Raw genomic sequence first — 19,101 nt, forward strand, 5'->3', positions numbered from 1 at the left:
TTTGTATTTCTTTGAGGATTAGTGATGTTAAACATTTTTTCATATTCCTGTTGGGCATTTGTATGTCTTCTTTTGCGAAGTATCTATTCAGATCTTTTGCCCGTTTAAAAATCCGATTGTTTTTCCTATTGAGTTGTTTGAGCTTCTTATATATTCTGTGTATTAATCCCTTGTCAGATGGATAGTCTGCAAATATTTTCTCCCATTCTGTGGTTCGTCTCTTTTCTTTGTTGATTATTTCTTTTGCTGTGCAGAAGCTTTTAAGTTTGATGTGATCCCATTTGTTCATTTTTGCTTTGGTTGCCTGTGCATCTGAGGTCTTATTCAAGAAATCTTTGCCCAGATCAGTGTCCTGGAGTGTTTTCCCAATGTTTTATTCTAGTAGTTTTATAGCTTTAGGACTTAGATGTTACTCTTTAATTGATTTTGATTTGATTTTTATATATGTCAAGAGACAGCAGTCTAGTTTCATTTTTCTGCATGTGGATATTCAGTTTTCCCGGAACCATTTTTTGAAGAGACTATCCCTTCTCCAGTATATATTCTGGGCAACTTTGTTGCAAATGAGTTGAACTGCAATGGGTGGATTTATTTCTGGGTTCTCTATTCTGTTTCATTGGTCTATATGTCCGTTTTTGTGCCAGTATCATGCTGTTTTGGTTACTGTAGCTTTGTAGTATAATTTGAAGTCAGGTAATGTGATGCCTCCAGCTTTGTTCTTTTTGCTCAGGATTGCTTTGGTTATTTGGGGTCTTTTGTGGTTCCATATAAATTTTAGGATTTTTTTTTTCTATTTCTGTAAAGAATGTCACTGGTATTTTGATAGGGATTGCATTGGATCTGTAGATTGCTTTGGGTAGTATATTCTTGAAATTCATTCTTACCAACATCAGTTAAATGTGGATTGATATTTTAATTTTTATTTTATTCTTCTAAATATATTTAACTCATTAATCTTTTTGAATACATTGCCTTTGTAATAACATAATCCCCCATAGACTTTTTTGGCATTATTTTGTTATACTTATTATATCATATACTATATGATTCTTACAGGGCACAAGGATATTTTGTTTTAATCTTTTGTGTTCCATTAATCCATCTGACAATCTTGCAGTTCTTATGTCAGTACCATACTGCATTTTAATAACTGTAGCTTTATTATGTGCCTACTATAATAAAAAGCATGTCTCCAATCACTCCTTCTGTAGTACATATAGGCATTTCTACCTGTGCATTCTCTTAGATGTGTTTTAAAATCATTTTGTCAATTCTTTTCTTCCCGTGCCTTTCTCCAAATTTATATACTTCCTTTTATTATTTATTTAGCATAACATGAAACCTACCATTCTGGAAATAATGAATTATATTTTCTGACACTTAATATAAAGTAAATTGCAATATATTACACATAATATAGTTTTTCTTGTCTCTAGGTATGTACTTCAGCAAGTTCAAAGTAAACAAAATAATCTTTTCAGGCAGAGTTGGAATATTAAAAGTACCTTAAACCTATAAGTGTTGTTATCAAAATATGTATTCCTAAATTAGTCTAAAAGATTGCCAAAGTAGAATTGTTAAATTGATAAAAATATTATACTATCAATACTAAAGTAGAATATTTGTTTTATATATAACATAATAAGATTTGAAAATTTGCGAGGAGTCTACATAAAGTTCTTTTGATAGGAGGGGAGAATCCCTAATGTAATAATTGGATATATGCAATATGATTTTATTAAGGTAATTAAATAGCAAATAATTTCCTATTTTTGAGACTGAAATATGGATACTGCCTTTCACAAAATATTAGAGCATAAATGCTGGGCAAAAAATTAGAACTATTGACTTTATTTCACATTTGCAGAAAATTCTAGCACTTCGTGTAGTTAAATGTCATATTTTGTCAAGAAGATACAGAAAGATGGAGATCATGTCTTTTGATAAAAGCAACCACAATTTATGTTGTTGTATCTGTGTTGTAACTGGCCTTGAAAGTTAATGACATCAGTGTGACACTAATTTATTTAGATTAGTTAGCACACACCTAGTAGTAGTCCAATATAAAGAGTTCATTATTCTAAATATTATTACTATTAATTTATCTAACAAAAGCAGCTTTGTGTTTCATTTTGTCAAGTTTCTTTTTGTTAACCATTTAATATCTTAGATGTATAATATGAAAATTTAGTGTACCATTAGAGCTCATCCAAAGACAATCAGTGAGATTGATTGTTGGTCATGAAAATAAGCCAAAGTCTTCATACTCAAGCATGCAAAATTAAGAGGCTGTGAATTTAGGGGAAAATGAAGGGACTTTGGGTTTTGTCGGGGAGCAAGAAAGCAAGGAATATAGAAGAATTCAGAGTTTACTACTTGAAATTATTTTCCCCTTTATCTTACTAACTTTTAGGGAGAGTGATAGATTTTAGTTATTATGCCATAAATTAAGTTATATTGTGTTGCCATACGTTGGACATAAATCTGGCTCAGTTTTTCAGTGCTCATTTAAATGCTTAATGACAAGAAGCCAGAACAACGGGTTAATTCTCTTAAAAATTATTCAAGGAAAGAGAGAAAGAGGAAATGAGGGAAGGAGAGAAGGAAGAAAGAAGAAAGGAAAATCTGAAATGAGGCAGTCTTCACAAATGATGGAAGTAATGTATCTAAATTAAACTGATCTGCCTACATTTCATTTAGGGTCAGAATTCCATTTAAACCCACTAAAAACGGAAAAAGTATCTGTATTTTTCCACAATCACCTGATTTATTTGTTGAAACGAGGGCATGACCTGTTTTAGAATCTCCACATATTATTCACTTATAATGCTTAGGTTGGCCCACATCACAGCCAAATCAGTCCAAGCATTAGCTTTGTGGGCACCAATCCACAATGGCTGGTGAAGGAAAGTGCACAGCATTTAATGTAGTACTTCCAGTTTTATCTCTTGTACTAGTTTCCTGGAACTTCTGTAACAAATTACCCCAAACATGGTGACTTACAACAACAGAAATATATTCTCTCACAGTTTCGGAGGGCAGAAGTTGAAATTAAGGCATCAACAGGGATGTCCTCTCTCTAAAGCCTCCACAGTAGACTCCTTCCTTGCCTTTTCCAGCTTTTGGTGGTTCCAGGCATTGCTCGCCTTGTGGTTGCATCTCTCCAATCTCTGCCTTCATTTTTGTATGGCCTTTTCTTTTGTGTGCATGTCTTCTCTTGTATCTCATATAAGAATAATTGTCATTGAATTTAGGGCCCACCTACGTAATCCAAGATGATCTAATCTCAAAATCCTTAATTAAATTACATTTGCAAAGAGTCTTTCCCCAAATAAGGTCATATTCACAGGGCCGAGGGATTAGGAAATGGTATTTTATATGGAGCCACCATTCAACCCACTACACTCATATTGGTCACTCACATTGAGAATCAGATGTTTTGTGATGATATTACATTAAGTTGACATTAATTTCCCTTTACGTATTTTGTGAGTTTATGGTAACATCCCTGTGAATAACTAACCAGAATTAAAAAGTGCTCTGTAAACTCTATACAACATTAGATATAGAAAATTATTTTCATGCCTATTGCATTATAAAGCTCTTGAAGCCTAATACTAGCATGCCTTTTATTAAAAGTAAGAGAGACTATAACTGTAAAATAATTAATTCTAACTTGTAGTTTCTATCTGTTGTATTTTATATTACTTGCTTCAATAATTTTTTAAGATTCTGGAGGTTTACCTACATGCTTATATGCCATCCTTCTCCCTAATCTTCTCCCTAATCTTAAAAATAGGTTTTATGTAATGAGAAACATTGTAGAATAGAAAGCACATATTCTTGGTTTGCATAGAGACAAAAGAAATCTGACTTCCTCTAATGACAAGTCAATTTATTATTTTATGTATATATGTATGTGTGTTCGTATTTTAATAAATAAATGTGTTGTTTCATATATTTAAAATATATATTTATATTTTTTTACATGTAAATGAATGAAATGGCATATATATGCTATCATACTGTGTTTTGAATATATTTCTGTTATTTACAAATAACATTTATTTACAATATTCATTTCTATGGTATTTATTTGTCATTCCTCTCCTTCAAGTCTTCTTAGTGGTGTTTCAGTACTCAAAAATGAGGGCATCCAGCCTGGCCAATATGGTGAAACCCCTTCTCTACTAAAAATACAAAAATTAGCCAGGTGTGGTGGCACACACCTGTAGTCACAGCTACTCAGGAGGCTGAGGCAGGAGAATCGATTGAACCTGGGAGGCAGAGGTTGCAATGAGCCAAGATCAGGCCACAGCACTCCAGCCTGGGCAGCAGAGTGAGACTCTGTCAAACAAAACACCAAAATGAGCACAGACATCTTACGAAGTATCTCTTTGAAGGATACTGTCAAATTTTTATCCCACAGAAAGTCAGTTTAGTTAATACTATGTAAGTTTATCTTAAGTTAGTCTATGGAAGTGTGAAGTATCTGAGGTGTCAAACAATAACCAAAATGGATAGCTATCATAGAACACAATTCCGGCATATCGCTGTAATTTGTGGAGCAGCAATTTTTTTGTTCACTGAAATCTTTTAAAATACTTTCTAAAAACTATTGCACTTTACTCATAGTCTGTGTCATTGTTTCTCAGCTTTTACAGAGAGAAACCAGACATCAGAGAGGAAATGGTTTATCCATGCTATAATCACTGTATTTGCAATCATCTGTTTTTAATCTTTTCCACATCAGGATCACATAAGGAAAGGGAAAGTTTCCATCTCTTCCTGATTCTAGCGTGAAGTGAACCATCTAAAAATAGCCTCACTGTTACCTCATGTATTTCCCTTTTCATTTTACCCCAAAATCCACACATCACTGGTCATACCCTTGAGTCATGTTTGTAAACACTAGAAAGCTCTTTCTTTTCTTTGCCCTCACGCAATTGCTCCACAATGTGAACTTTTGGTTTATTTTGATGTTGAATAATCACGAGTGAATAATTGTGAACAGTGCTGGACAAGAAATAACAAGCTGATTAATTTAGCTGAATAGAGGGAAAAAAAGAAGAGATTGGTGATAAAAGCTTTCTCAAGTTTCAAACAAGAAATTATTTACATACATATGGGATTTTCAGTGAAATGTAATTGTATTTATCATAATAGTTTATGAAGCAAATGCTTTCATATACATTAAATCCTTTGTTCTCCTAGATTTTTATTCATAAGTGGTGTTGAGAGAGTTGATCAACATAAAATTCATGACATTCCAGAAGCAAAAAGAGCAGTGAAAGTTCAATGAAAAGTGTATTTTTCTCTGAATGTAAGCCTGTATGATAAAGTACTTGTTTTCTTCTAATGTAAACTACTGAGGTCTTTATACATTTTATCATTTAATCCTCTCAGCAATCCTATGAGAAAGGCGATGGTATTAGCTTTATTTTACAGAGGTAGAAAAATGAATTGCTGAGAAATAAGAAACAGATGAAATAGAGATGAGATGGGATTGGGAGCCTGCTATGTCAGGGATAGTGAATAATCTAGTCTGTGTTTGTTCGTTCCTCATTATCTCTGCGTTGCCTGTAGGGGAGTATCACTGTACACTGCAGCCACCAAAAATAATTTGTTTCTTGTTGAGCTGTGGTGTCTAATTAGTTTGTCTCAGGTCATCCAGCTAGCAAGTTTTAGGGTGTCTGTCTTAGAGCTGGGCCTTTCACGCTGCACAACCCAGGCCCACAATCGTGCAGCACCTTCCTGCCTTTATCATACTTTTCTATAATATCTATTTATCTTTTCTGTTGATTTATAAACTCCAAATCTTCAAGGACAGCCTATCTCTTATGCTTAGAACATAACTCACTGATAATTGTTGGCTGAATTAACAAATACTCTGAGGAAATTGTCCAGGTGTACTGCAAAGTCTCACCTTGTATTTTTTCCTGGCATTTATCACAGTTTTAAGCACAAAGGGTTATTTGATTGCTATCTCTCGCCCAACAGGCTATAAATCCCATAACAACAAAAACCATGAATGTTTTACTCACTGTTATGTCCCCACTTCTAACATGGAACCTAGTCGACCACTATTGATTGCTGTGGAATGGATCAACGAGATGACAAGAGTAGTTAAAAAGAACTTAAGATTCTAGTGACAGTATCCCCAAAACTTCCCCTTTCCAGGAATTTTCCTCTCTAATGTTCTTATCTCTCTTCCCTTTCTTTATCCTCTTTTGTTTTCCTTACTTTTTTCCTTCCATCTCTTTTCTTCTCTTTACTGGCATTTATTTATTAAACATTTGCATAGCACTTAATATGTAGTAAGCACTGTTTTAAGCACTGTAAAGTATTAATTTATTTAATTCTAATAGCAACCCTATGAGATAGGTATTATTTATATCATCCACATTTTAAATCTGAGATGGAAACATTGACTTAAGAAACATGTCCAAGGCCATGGAGCTTGCATTTGGACTCAGGCATCTGGTCCCAGAATCTGTGCTTCTCCCACTATGATATTCTGCTTCTTATTTATTCTGCTCTCCCTGAAGATGCACATAATGGAAATGAGGTCTCTTCACTGCATCTCTCCATATTGATTTATGTTCTCCAGTTTAAATTTAATTTTGGGGGTGCTTACCCCAGTGAGTTAGCCTGCTTTGGTGCAGAGACAAACCAACCTCGAATCTCCGTAGCTGACTGCGAACACGTATTTCTTGGCCACTTACATGCCAGCAGTCATAAATCACCCGTGGAGGCTCTGTTCTATTTCTCTTCTCATTCTGGCGGGAATGTATAACCAGCTTACCAGGAAGGGAGCTAATACATGGAAACCATCATACAATTTGCCACGACCATTAACTAAGCCCTTGGTACATCTGTACAGTCCTCTCTTGGCCGTTACATGTAATAGCAATGCTCTGAGGCCAAAGGTTCAACTTCTGTTCACAAAAAGAAGACAAAAAGCTGATTCAGAGTAACTCAAATATTTTTGTATACATAAAATGAATGAAGTTTTGGCTGGTACTTTTTAACACTTTGGTGGAGATGATACAGGTAAAAATCCAGTAACAGGATTCTTCTCTGCATCATCAGATTCCTTTTTTACTCCTAAGGGTTAAAAAAACTTTCACATGGTTATAAATTCTCTGAACCCATAATTTTTTTTCTCTAGCAGCTTCTTCAACATAATTTTGCTCAGTTCAGTTTATCAATAATTTTTCAAATGCCTGCTGTGGAGCTAGCCTTGTGCCAAGAATTAACATAACAATAGTGAGTTTGTTTTCAATTTCTTTGAAATTAATGAACTTCCTGAGAACAGGGTCGTGATTCATCCTAGCAAGGAGTACATTGCTGGCACACAGTAGACACCTAGTGAACACTGAATTATGGTCAGACCAACTGAATCAATGAAAACTGAAAATTTCCAAATTCATCTTTCCATCTTTCCCATAGGAACTTCTACTTGCAGAAAAGTGGGCTAAAATGAACAAGCTCCCCTTTCCAAAGATTGATCCTTATGTGTTTGATCGGGAAGGGCTGAAGGAGTGCTATGTCTTTAAACCCAAGAATCCTGATATGGAGAAAGATTGCCCAACCATCATCCACTTTGTTCTGGCCAACATCAACTTCAGAAAGTACAGGGCTCCAGGTAAGTAGGGAGTAAGCTGTATTCCATAAAATAGAAATTAAGTAGGGGACGAAACTGACATTAAACTGTTTCACTCTGTCACTGCTGTACCAGCTATTACACTATTGAATGCTTCCCTTACCTTGATAAATAGATACTATTCTGAGACCTCAAGTACTTCTCCTCTTTCTTACCCCAAGATCCCCTGACTTGCTCACAGTTCAGAAACTGCAAAGTCAACAACCAGTTTAGCAAAAATCTCTGGGACTTTACTTCAATACTTTGAATTATGTTTGTTCTGATTGATTTTTAATCAAATATTTTGACTATCACCCTTGTAAGAAAGCCCTTATTTCAGAAAAATCATGCAAATTTCTGGGAATTTTACGTGACTACAAGATTAACGTAATCTAGCAGTACACAATGGCTAGCAGTTTCAGTTTGCCATGTTGTATTTCACAGAAAACAAGAATCAAGTTTGAGGCATAGTCTTTTTTGTTTTGTTTTATTTTTTTAACCATATCCAGAGGGGTCTCTCGACTCTTGTGTATCCTGGAAAATGTTGATTAACCAAAGGAGATCTAAAGATTTACATGCAGGGTGCTTAAGGCTCCAAAAACCATATTTTAGGACCAGAAAATGTGTTTTCCATTTTATAAATGGAAAGACACAAAAAATAGGGAGGATGAGTAATGGGAATATGCTGAGAAAAATGGTGTTTTTCTAGATTTCTCAGGAAGACAAAGAAAGAATTGATAGGAGTGAAGATTATTGTGAAGCATATAGTTCAGCATAGGAGAAGGTGGAAATCTGACATTTTTAGTTATCAGACACTAGAGCACATGAAACCCAGTGAATTTTCTATCACTGTGAATTCTCAAGGAGAGGCTCACTGAGCAGTTGGCATGTGTAGGGGATTTCCATGGCATAAAGACAGCCACATAATGTTTTAGTTTGGGTTCTCCCAGAAACTAATTCTGAGAAAAGGACTCAAGTGCAAATAGTTTATTTAGATGAGCTGGGGAACACTCTAGTTTATTAGTAAGGAAATGGGGAAGTGGTAAAGGGAAGGAAGGCAGACAACAAAGTTGCATTAGCAAGCCGGCTACCACAATGGGAACTTGATCCGCTGGGAAAGACTACAAAATGGAATAGACCTGTGTCCCACAATCATGCTTCCCACACGCACACCAAAAGGCAGGGGAATGGAGTATTTAGATTCTAACTCCCTAGAGTCTTTGGTTGACCACTGCCTGGGGAACAGTGTTATTTAACAGAATTTCCAGCCTGCTGTGAGTGGGTCAAGCAGGCTTCTACAGTTGCAGGGCAGGATAGAAAGCCCTCCGGCACACAGATGTCAGATATTGGCAGTTGGATGTCATCTGGCCAGAACACACAGACACGATAAAAGTCAGAGATGCTACAGAGTACCTGGCTCTGTGGGGACTCCCACTGCTGTCTTTATGTCTGTATGTTTTATTCCTTGGGTTTTAGAGATATTTTGTAGTTTTCAAAATAACACCCTTTGTGACTCTTCTGGTATTTAGGTGTTCCAAGGGAAACTGAGGAAGAGAAAGAAATCGCTGACTTTGATATTTTTGATGACCCAGAATCACCATTTTCAACCTTCAATTTTCAATATCCAAATCAAGCATTCAAAAGACTACATGATCTTATGCACTTCAATACTCTGAACAACATTGATGTAAGTATCTCCTATGGCCATTGACTATGTCAAATGACTTCCATACCGTATAAATACACCAATACCTCTTTTCAATTAAAAATAAAAAAATAAGTGTTATGAATGACACCACCCAAAATATGCCACTTTACTTTTCATGAAATATTTTGCTAATCTTCAGAAGAACCCTACAAAACTGACAAATAAGGAAACTCATTTTATGCTATTATTTTATTGAATGATTGGTTAATACTCAGTTTCTTTCCCGAAGTATCTATGTATTTATTATATGATATAACAAATTATAAGTAAGGAAGAAAAGTGATGAAAAGGAAATATGAGTAAAGGAAATATGAGTATGAAAGTGAATGGAACCAGAAGTGTAGTTAATCTGCAAAAATATAACATGAATTTTAATAAATACATTTATGATTTTACATATTTTCTTTTTGTGAATTTGAGAGCAGCATCACAAAACGTAACAGCATTTCCTTTTTTTTTTTTTTTTTTTTTTGAGATGGAGTCTCGCTCTGTCGCCCAGGCTGGAGTGCAGTGGCGCAATGTCGGCTCACTGCAAGCTCCGCCTCCCAGGTTCACGCCATTCTCCTGCCTCAGCCTCCCGAGTAGCTGGGACTACAGGCGCCTGCCACCACGCCCGGCTAATTTTTTTGTGTTTGTAGTGAAGACGGGGTTTCACCGTGTTAGTCTCCATCTCCTGACCTCGTTACCCGCCCGCCTCGGCCTTCCTAAGTGCTGGGATTACAGGCGTGAGCCACCGCACCCGGCCAGCCTTTCCAATTTTTAGCCTTTGAGATGTCAAGTATGCTTTGCTTTAGAAACAAATCATTGTCTTCAGTATCAATCCTTCCTATCATTAGTGTATCTTCTGCTAAGATTCTGTGTCTAGGTGAAATTCTTTCATTTTTAACTTACCATATAGGAACACTATTCTGTAACTGAAATCATTGACTTGTGGTTCCAAATCATAGTGTCTGACAAATGATTATCAGTTGTAAAAGCTTAAGTTCAGTGGCCTAATTGGATTTTGTACATTAGAAAAACAGAAAAAAAGAAATTAAATGGAGAAGGAAAGGCATCATGTCTGATTTACCAGTCTTTTTGGTGACTGTGTAAATGGCGCAAAGGAATTCAGAATATGTGAATGAGTGTTCTGTTTATATGGGCTCTAATTAGATTTTGTGAGCTAATAGAACTCCACACATCTAGTTTGCTTGCTTGTTTCGTTTGGCCTGAGACTAGTAATATCAACTGTATGCAATCATCACAGTTGCACCATAATATATTTGTTAATTAATATCTTTAATTTTTGTAAATGTGTAAAATTTTCCCCAATAAGCCTTGATTCTTACAACTCTAAAATTCTTTTTTTCAGCCTTCATTTACAAATAGATGATAATTCATCTAAAAATGCTTATCAAAATATATAGCATATGTCATTTTCTCCATAGATTTGTTTCCTTTTTAGAAAAAATATTTCAAGCAGTGGACATCTGAAATCCACGTGATACATTATCTCTATGGTGATGGCAAAAATTGAAAGGTTAAGAGAAAAAATGATTAATCTCTGATTTGTAGGGAGTGAACATAAATTCTCAAAATAGAGTTAGTTGCATTTTATAAAACCTCATGCTACTAAAACAGAGGTAAGAATTAATATCACAGTCACCCTAGTTTTCCAGTATGAGCCAATAAACTCAAAACTACACATTCCTTGGGATGAATTGTATTAAATTTGATAAGTCTTTCTCAAATGGAAAAAACAGATTGTAGGAATATACAAATACCATGTTGGACTTGGGAGTAGATATACATATGTGTATCTTAACCAAATACATTTGTCTTGCTGTTCTAGTTTATATAAAGTCTGCTAAACAATTTGCAATAAGGAATGATACAGTTTTATTTATATATTTTACAAACATTCTTCAAAGTAGTTTGTTTGACACATAGATGTAAAAGTTAGTGCCTGAACAAAAATAGACTGAATCCCAGAACAACTGTCCCGACCTATACACCTCATCAAATGTTGATTCTTCAGAAACCATTAATTTAGCAGTTTTAAAAATATGTTTTCACTTTTTATTGTTATAAAATATACAAAATATAAAATTTATCATTTTAACCATTTTTAAGTGTACAGTTTAGTGGCATTAAGTACATTGCATTATCGTGCAACCAACCCCACCATCTATCTCCAGAACATTTTACATCCTCCCAAACTAAAACTCTGTAACCATTAACTAGTAAGTCCCCATTTCCCCTGCATTTTTAGTAACAATACCATCAGGTTTTTATAAGAAGATTGATAAATTCATTAAAAAATAATATGAAAGTGAAAAGGACCAAAGTAGGCTAACTCATCTTGAAGAAAGAAAGCGAAGTTAGAAGACTTACTTTACCAAATAGAAAGACAGCAAGATAACATTAAGAAAACATGACATTGTCCAAGGACAGACAGTAGCACTAAATAAAATCGTCCTTGAATAAATTGTGACTATCTGTAATAAAAAAAGTGATCAGATGATTATTCACAAAGGAAAAAATTAAATGTACCTCTTTCACATTATCAACAAAGCCAATATCAGATAGACTGTAGATCTGAGTATAAAAGTAAACAAAGCTTCTAGAATACAACACAGGGGAGTATCTTTATGACTTTGACCCTGGGAAATATTCTTTAAACTTGACGCTAAAAGCATTAGCCATAAAGGGCAATCTTTCCTGTATCTCCAAGTCCTTTAGTTCTGAGAATTAAGCAGTTTTTAATTGCTTCTGCTACAGTTTCTGGCACAGCATGTACAGACAAGGTCATGGGCGTTATATCATCTTTAAATCTCTTACATGTGACTTTGAATAAGCTGCTTAAACTTTTTGAGCCTCCACTTCCTCGTCTCTGAAACAGGTGTGGTAGGATCTATAATAATTGTAGTAGTGAATGTTTAATTGGGTGATGCATGATTACAGAAGCTGCTCAATAAATGAGAACCTTACCTATACATGTCCTTATCTTGTACCCCTGAAGGTCCATGGGGATTACACCCAAAGACCTTTGCAAATGCCTCAGGTTAACAACATAGACAAGTTTGTACAGGTAATGCCAGCTTAGGCAGTCAGTATATATTTTCTGAATGAACAAATGAAGGTAGGCTTTTTCCTGAATTATATGAACATTGAGACTCATGTTCAAGTAACTCCTCTTTGTGTGTGTGTGCGTGTGTGTGTGTGTGTGTGTTTCATAAACAGATAAAATTTTCAGTTTTCACTGACATTTTATCTTGCCTTAGTGACTCCCTTCTTCTCCACTTTAAGAAAACACATTTTTGGGGCCGGGCGCCGTGGTTCACGCCTATAATCCCAGCACTTTGGGAGGCTGAGGCGGGCAGATCACCAGGTCAGGAGATCAAGACCATCCCGGCTAACACGGTGAAACCCCGTCTCTACTAAAAATACAAAAAAGCAAAATTAGCTGGGCGTGGTGGCAGGTGCCTGTAGTCCCAGCTACTAGGGAGGCTGAGGCAGGAGAATGGTGTGAACCAGGGAGGTGGAGCTTGCAGTGAGCCAAGATCGCACCATTGCACTTCAGCCTGGGTGACAGAGCAAGAGTCTGTCTCAAAAAAAAAAAAAAAAGAAAAGAAAAGAAAAGAAAACACATTTTTATCAGAATCACAATTTTGTAAATGATGGTACTTAAAGAGCAACAAAACTCTGCTGAATTAGCTAACTCTCTCATTCCCACACCATTTGAATAGAGTAGGGTACCGATTCACACTTCGGCAACACAGCATATGTTTACTGCTGTAGACCATCAGAGTTCTTTGTAAACGGTGGATGGACATTGTGAATATAAACTCTTACAATGCAAAGTTACCTCTCTGCCAATTACATAGACAACAGTTTTCAACTTTGCAACTGTGACCACTGTGGCTTAGGGCAACGTTTCCTCTTCAATTCACTCTGACCTCAATTTTTGCTCTGAAGAGGCCATGCTGTGTCAGCCAGCTGCACCCTCCTATTGCTTCATTTTATCAAGAGATTCTAGCTTGCCTGCTTTGCCAAAGCTAAATTTCAGTTTATCTTTAGAGGACTTCTGCTCTGTTTCTGCTCACGTCATGACAGCGGCCTGGGTTTCTCATAGCATCAGGTTTCTGCTCTTACTCAATTCTCCCAAATTCCTTTTCACTGAACATTGTCTCAATGCTTGTACAATTACAGTAGTATTTCAATTTTTTTTCCTTCAAAAACTTAACGTATAGTGACTTACACTGGTAGACATGTGATGGCGGCGGGGCGGGGGTGGGATGCAGAGGCATTGGAGTCTGACCAAATTGGGTATTCAAATCCTTGCTCTGCGGCCTCTTGGCTGGGTGACATTGGGCATATTGGTTAACCTTTCTAAATTTTGCTTTCCTATTTTGTAAAGGGAAACGATGGTATATATCATGTAGGATCAGGATGGGGATTAAGTAGAATAATATAACTTAAGGGCTTGGCATGAAATAGACAGTAAATTGAAGCAGCTAATATAATTATTAGTGTTCATAGTTTTTGGCTTTTAATTATAAACCCCTTAAGAACAGTGACTTGCTTTATTTACCTTGTATTCTGTAGACATACTGATCACAATGCCTGACACCTAAAGTAAATATGCAGTACAATTTTCATGATGGGTGTTTAAAATTTCATTGACTTACTGTGGGTAGCAAGTGTCAGGATACAAGGTGCTCTTGGTGGGATGGAGGCAGAGTTCCCAACCATGGGGAATTTGTATATAGTACATGCCTGCCCACGTAGTATGGCTGCATACTCTATCTACTCTTAAACCATCACTTCGATCTGGAGGGAATATGTCTTCTGAGATTTCTTTTCTAGGACCTGTTAATTTGCTATCACAGGAAAATATATGGTTTCCCAGTCTCACTTATTCAAATTATTAATTTGATAGGCATAGTCTTAGAACCAGTTATGTGTCACATTATTCAGCATATGCCAATGATGCAAAGTAATGAGCTTTTTTCTTTCTTAAATAATTCTACAAAGTGCTAAACATTAAATGTTAATTAAAATGAGGATACATCCATATCCAGAAATACTGGTACTCATTTCTTAATTCATTAATTCATTGATATTTCTTCATCTTGATAAGGGTGTGTAGGTACAAGTAAAAGTTCTATCTTTTAAAAATAATTTATAAGCTTACTATTATGTATTATTGCCTAATATATTAGTCCATAACTCATCTATTTTTAATGCTGCCTATGATCTCTTTCTGGTCTCATTTATTTATTAATTCAATACATATTTATTGTTTAGTGTGCCAGAAACTGTTTTAGAAACTAGGGGTACAGCATGGAAAGAAGAATTAAAAGTTTTGAGTGCTTCATATAAGCCAAATATTTTCCCCCAAATATTTAACACTCAAGACTAGCCTATGAGGTGGGGTTTTAATTTATAAGTTAGGAAATGGAGTCATGGATTACTTAGGCAGGTTACTGGAAGTCACGATGATGTGGGGGAGCTGAGATGAGGCTGCATGTCTTTTCTCCTTCATTCCTTACTTTTGAACCACCTGTCTCTCAAGCAGCCTTATTTCTTAGTGTTCCCCAAACACAGCCTTCATTCTAGCCAGGCCAGAATGAATTCCCAGATGTCTCTGACGAATGCCACAGCCTCCCATCCTCAGTCTTTTCATATGGTTATTCTTCTACAGAGAATGCCCAGTCTTCTGCTCCACTTAAAAACCCTGCCTGTCCTTTAACTCAACTGGTCTCACTGTTCCTCTGAACTGAATGCTGCCCTGTGTCAATCAACCTCTAGTGAGCACCTTCTGTGTATTTATTAATTTTGCAAATATTTATTATGTACCTTCCATGTTCTAAGCGCTCGGATAAAAAAAAATGCAAGCCTGATGAACTTTCTGCCTTCCTGACATTTCAGTTTTTATTGAAAAGGCAGGCATTATCCAGCAAATTCACAGTAATTTTACACCTAAATATCTTCTCATGTTCTCCTATATTTGTAATTTTTACTTCTCTAACAAAATATACTTAACTTTCTCTCTTGGGCTTATTTTTTATTTTCTGTTGTGATAACTCAATATTTGTTTGTAGATTGCTTATAATCTCACCTCTACAAATTTGTTTCTTATGTGGAAGGGGGATCACATTTTACATGCTTGTTTTTCTTATTCTCTGCTTTCATTAGCAAAGATTTAAGAGATCTGGTTCAACAATAGGAGGCTACTGAATGGCACAAGTGAAAGATGACATGGGATAGGTGGTGAGGCTGGAGAAGGTTGAGATATGAGGGCTTTTGCTGGGATAACACTGAAGGGAAGGATTTGGAATCCCAATGAATTTCAGGGAAGAATGAAAGAGATACAAACACCATTTAAGATGACTTCTTGTATAATAATGAAAAGAAAGGTTTAAATTTAACATAATGCCTTTTTGAATATATGTAGTTGTATCATGTAGGATGCCAAAAGGTTTGAATTTAGTAACTGATCTAATACTGGGCTTGATTTTTTCTATCACAGAACTGTAACTCCCAAGAACAGGGTATTTTCCGCAGTAATGTGAAAAACCTGGTTAATGGTTTCATGGTGTTAATATGCCACCTAGTGGATCAACTTGCACATTCTAACTTGGGGTTTTCAGAGTTGGAAGTGTTCATTTTCCTTTATCAGAATGGCTTGCTCACTAGGAACACCAGCTGAGGTCCAATTACGATAAATCCACTAGTTCCTGATGTTGATATTGCTGATTTTTTTTATGCTCAAGAATTCATTATGAGGGAATTGATAGCAGCAATCATTGTCAGTTTAATTTTTTGTATGGTCTTTTTTATTTTAAAGCTTTTTAGGTGTTTAGAAAGCAAATAGTTGGTTTTTATTTTATTTGGACACTTTTATGCAATGAGGGTTGATGTTTCATGGATTTCTGTGAGAAGGAGAAACCAATTGATAAATTTGCTGATATAGATCTCTAGAAAGGCAGGGAGATTTTTAAAAGAAGATGTAGTAGGATACTTTGAATAGCAGAAACGATTTGCTGACTTACACAATATAATAAGCTCATTCTTGGCTACACACCTGGTGTGTTTATTTCTTATAAACTTTATAGCTTCACTTCTAATTTAGAGTTCCCAATTTTCATCACATATTGTCAGTTTAAAAATAACAAGCGTAACAGCTGTTGTAGAATGTTTATGTACCAGGTATTGTGCCAAGCACTTTATAGAAATGATCTCCAATCCCCACAAAACCCCAAATTAGTACATTATTTCCATTTTAAAGAAGAAGAAATGGGCTCAAGTATTGACACTAATTGCCCTCCATCTCACACAGCCAAGAAGTGTTTGTGCCTGGTAGCCTTTGGTCCAAGTCTCCTTCATAGATCTGAAGCATCTTTTGTCATCACAGAATTATGTTTCCCTATTCTTAAGAAAAGTGGGATCAGCAAATATCAGCTTTACCTTAACGGACTCATTCACGTTTGAGCCCATTTCCCGAGAAGATAATTACATATATTACGTTTTAAAATAAGGCATATAAAAGAACCACATTCCTGTGATAGCTCCCTTTTTCCAAAATCTGACTGCGTTTTTAAAGTTACTATTAGAGAATAGAGAGCCTTGCTTGTTGGGTGTCTGGGACATAAAGTCACAGAAAAATAATTGCATGTTTGCACCATTTAGATCTCACATGTTTAAGTGGTGCAAACATGATCTCCTTCAGGCAATGAGCCATGCTTGCCCAGTGAGCTTGCACGTGGTAATGGGAGAATCCCTCTGAGCATGCATCTCCAAGGCCAAGTGGGCCACAGCAGTTGTGAGTGAGAGGAGGCCATAGCGTCCTAAACTGATCAGACTTGCCAAGTATTCCTACCTGTGGCAAGGGGCTGAAAAGCCCGTGGACTGTACCTTAATGTTGCTTAACAATCCCTGAGGTAGAGAATAAAAGGAATTGTGGAATAACTCTGTGACTTGCCTCGGTTTCCTGATGCCCAGAAACATCTATCTCATTGGTCATCGAGATGAAATGAGGACTGTCCTGGGAAATGGAGTCTTCCTGATTTTAACAAGGTTCTGAAGCAGAAGCAGAGACAAGATTTACTATTCAGGCCTTCTTCCAAAGCCCATTTCCACTGCTCTTCAATAACTGCATCTACCAAATTCTGAATGTTCTCTTCTTTCCCCAAATTCTAACTAGGTTAACTTCATACCAAAACCAGTGTATGACAGTTGAAATAGCAGTTCTTAGAGGTTGTAGTTTCCTGTGTTTTCTTCTGGTTACCATTAACATGGGTATATGTAAAGAATATATATTGGATATATGTATGCTGAATAAAAAGTAGTAATTCATTTTCACCAATGAAATCACAGAGCATGATGTTTCCTAGATAGAGGAGGCTCATGTTTTATAACTGTATTGTTTCAGTTGAGGAAGGAAGGCAATTCTCCAGCAATGCCTTCTTCCTCCACTAGGAAAAGCTTTTACTTTCCTGGTGGTCTTTTTCTACTTGCCCACTAATTATAAAGAACATAAATTATAGATTTAGTAATTACTTGTTTCTTCCCTGTTATCCCCCTTTTGGCAAAGAGCAGAACCAACATAATTTTACCATGCTACCACTTTATTCCCAAATTTATCAGCATAAAATCTAGAACATTTCCAGAATCCTTCTTTCCCTGGTGAGGGAAGGAACAGTAGCTGAATATAAGCTTAACAAGAGTGCAGTGGTGGGATGTTGAATTTAAATGTGTATGCATGACTCGTAGATTTCTATTCATATATGTCAAAAGGAATACTCTAATAAAAAGATTCATTTGATTTTTATTTTAATAAAAAATATATAAATGAGTTCATAGCAGCGCTAATTATACAACTTCTGTCTCTATTTGCAGGTGATAAAAGAAGCCATGGTTGAAAGCATTGAATATAGAAGACAGAATCCATCTCGTTGCTCTGTTTCCCTTAGTAATGTTGAGGCAAGAAGATTTTTCAACAAGGAGTTTCTAAGTAAACCCAAAGCATAGTTCATGTACTGGAAATGGCAGCAGTTTCTGATGCTGAGGCAGTTTGCAATCCCATGACAACTGGATTTAAAAGTACAGTACAGATAGTCGTACTGATCATGAGAGACTGGCTGATACTCAAAGTTGCAGTTACTTAGCTGCATGAGAATAATACTATTATAAGTTAGGTTGACAAATGATGTTGATTATGTAAGGATATACTTAGCTACATTTTCAGTCAGTATGAACTTCCTGATACAAATGTAGGGATATATACTGTATTTTTAAACATTTCTCACCAACTTTCTTATGTGTGTTCTTTTTAAAAATTTTTTTTCTTTTAAAATATTTAACAGTTCAATCTCAATAAGACCTCGCATTATGTATGAATGTTATTCACTGACTAGATTTATTCATACCATGAGACAACACTATTTTTATTTATATATGCATATATATACATACATGAAATAAATACATCAATATAAAAATAAGCATGAGATAACTGAGTTTTTTGTTAATTTTTAATGAGATATTGGACTATTGCTATGAAAGATTCTCATATTCACTGCTTTCAAACGCAAAAGTTGTTCATCCTAAACTCAAGTGTGAAACTTTTAATTTAATTTAATTAATTAATTAATTTTTTTGTGAGACAGAGTCTCACTCTGTCACCTAGGCTGGAGTGCAGTGGTGTGATCTTGGCTCACCACAAGCTCCGCCTCCCAGGTTCAAGCGATTCCCCTGCCTCAGC

General features: G+C 35.7%; 1 protein-coding gene across 4 annotated transcripts in view, besides 1 other annotated feature; it reads left to right on the top strand.

Annotated features, from left to right (window-relative positions):
• Positions 1–18,841, top strand: part of PLA2G4A (phospholipase A2 group IVA) — a 160,033-nt gene extending 141,192 nt beyond the window's left edge. For all 4 annotated transcript variants that reach the window (XM_011509642.3, NM_024420.3, NM_001311193.2 and 1 more), the window contains 3 exons: positions 7,453–7,648; positions 9,175–9,332; positions 18,237–18,841. In XM_011509642.3, the coding sequence (XP_011507944.1) occupies positions 7,453–7,648; positions 9,175–9,332; positions 18,237–18,368 (486 nt within the window). In that variant the 3' untranslated portion in view covers positions 18,369–18,841. The remainder of the gene's footprint in view (positions 1–7,452; positions 7,649–9,174; positions 9,333–18,236) is intronic.
• Positions 14,746–15,247: an enhancer, noted in NCBI's record as "NANOG hESC enhancer chr1:186954018-186954519 (GRCh37/hg19 assembly coordinates)". NCBI's record gives its function as "activates a minimal SCP1, AML or CMV promoter by ChIP-STARR-seq in naive H9 embryonic stem cells {active_cell/tissue: H9 hESC(naive)}" and the evidence as "EXISTENCE:reporter gene assay evidence [ECO:0000049][PMID:30033119]".

The sequence above is a fragment of the Homo sapiens genome, chromosome 1 (assembly GCF_000001405.40).
Source record: "Homo sapiens chromosome 1, GRCh38.p14 Primary Assembly".
NCBI classification, from domain to species: Eukaryota; Metazoa; Chordata; class Mammalia; order Primates; family Hominidae; genus Homo; species Homo sapiens.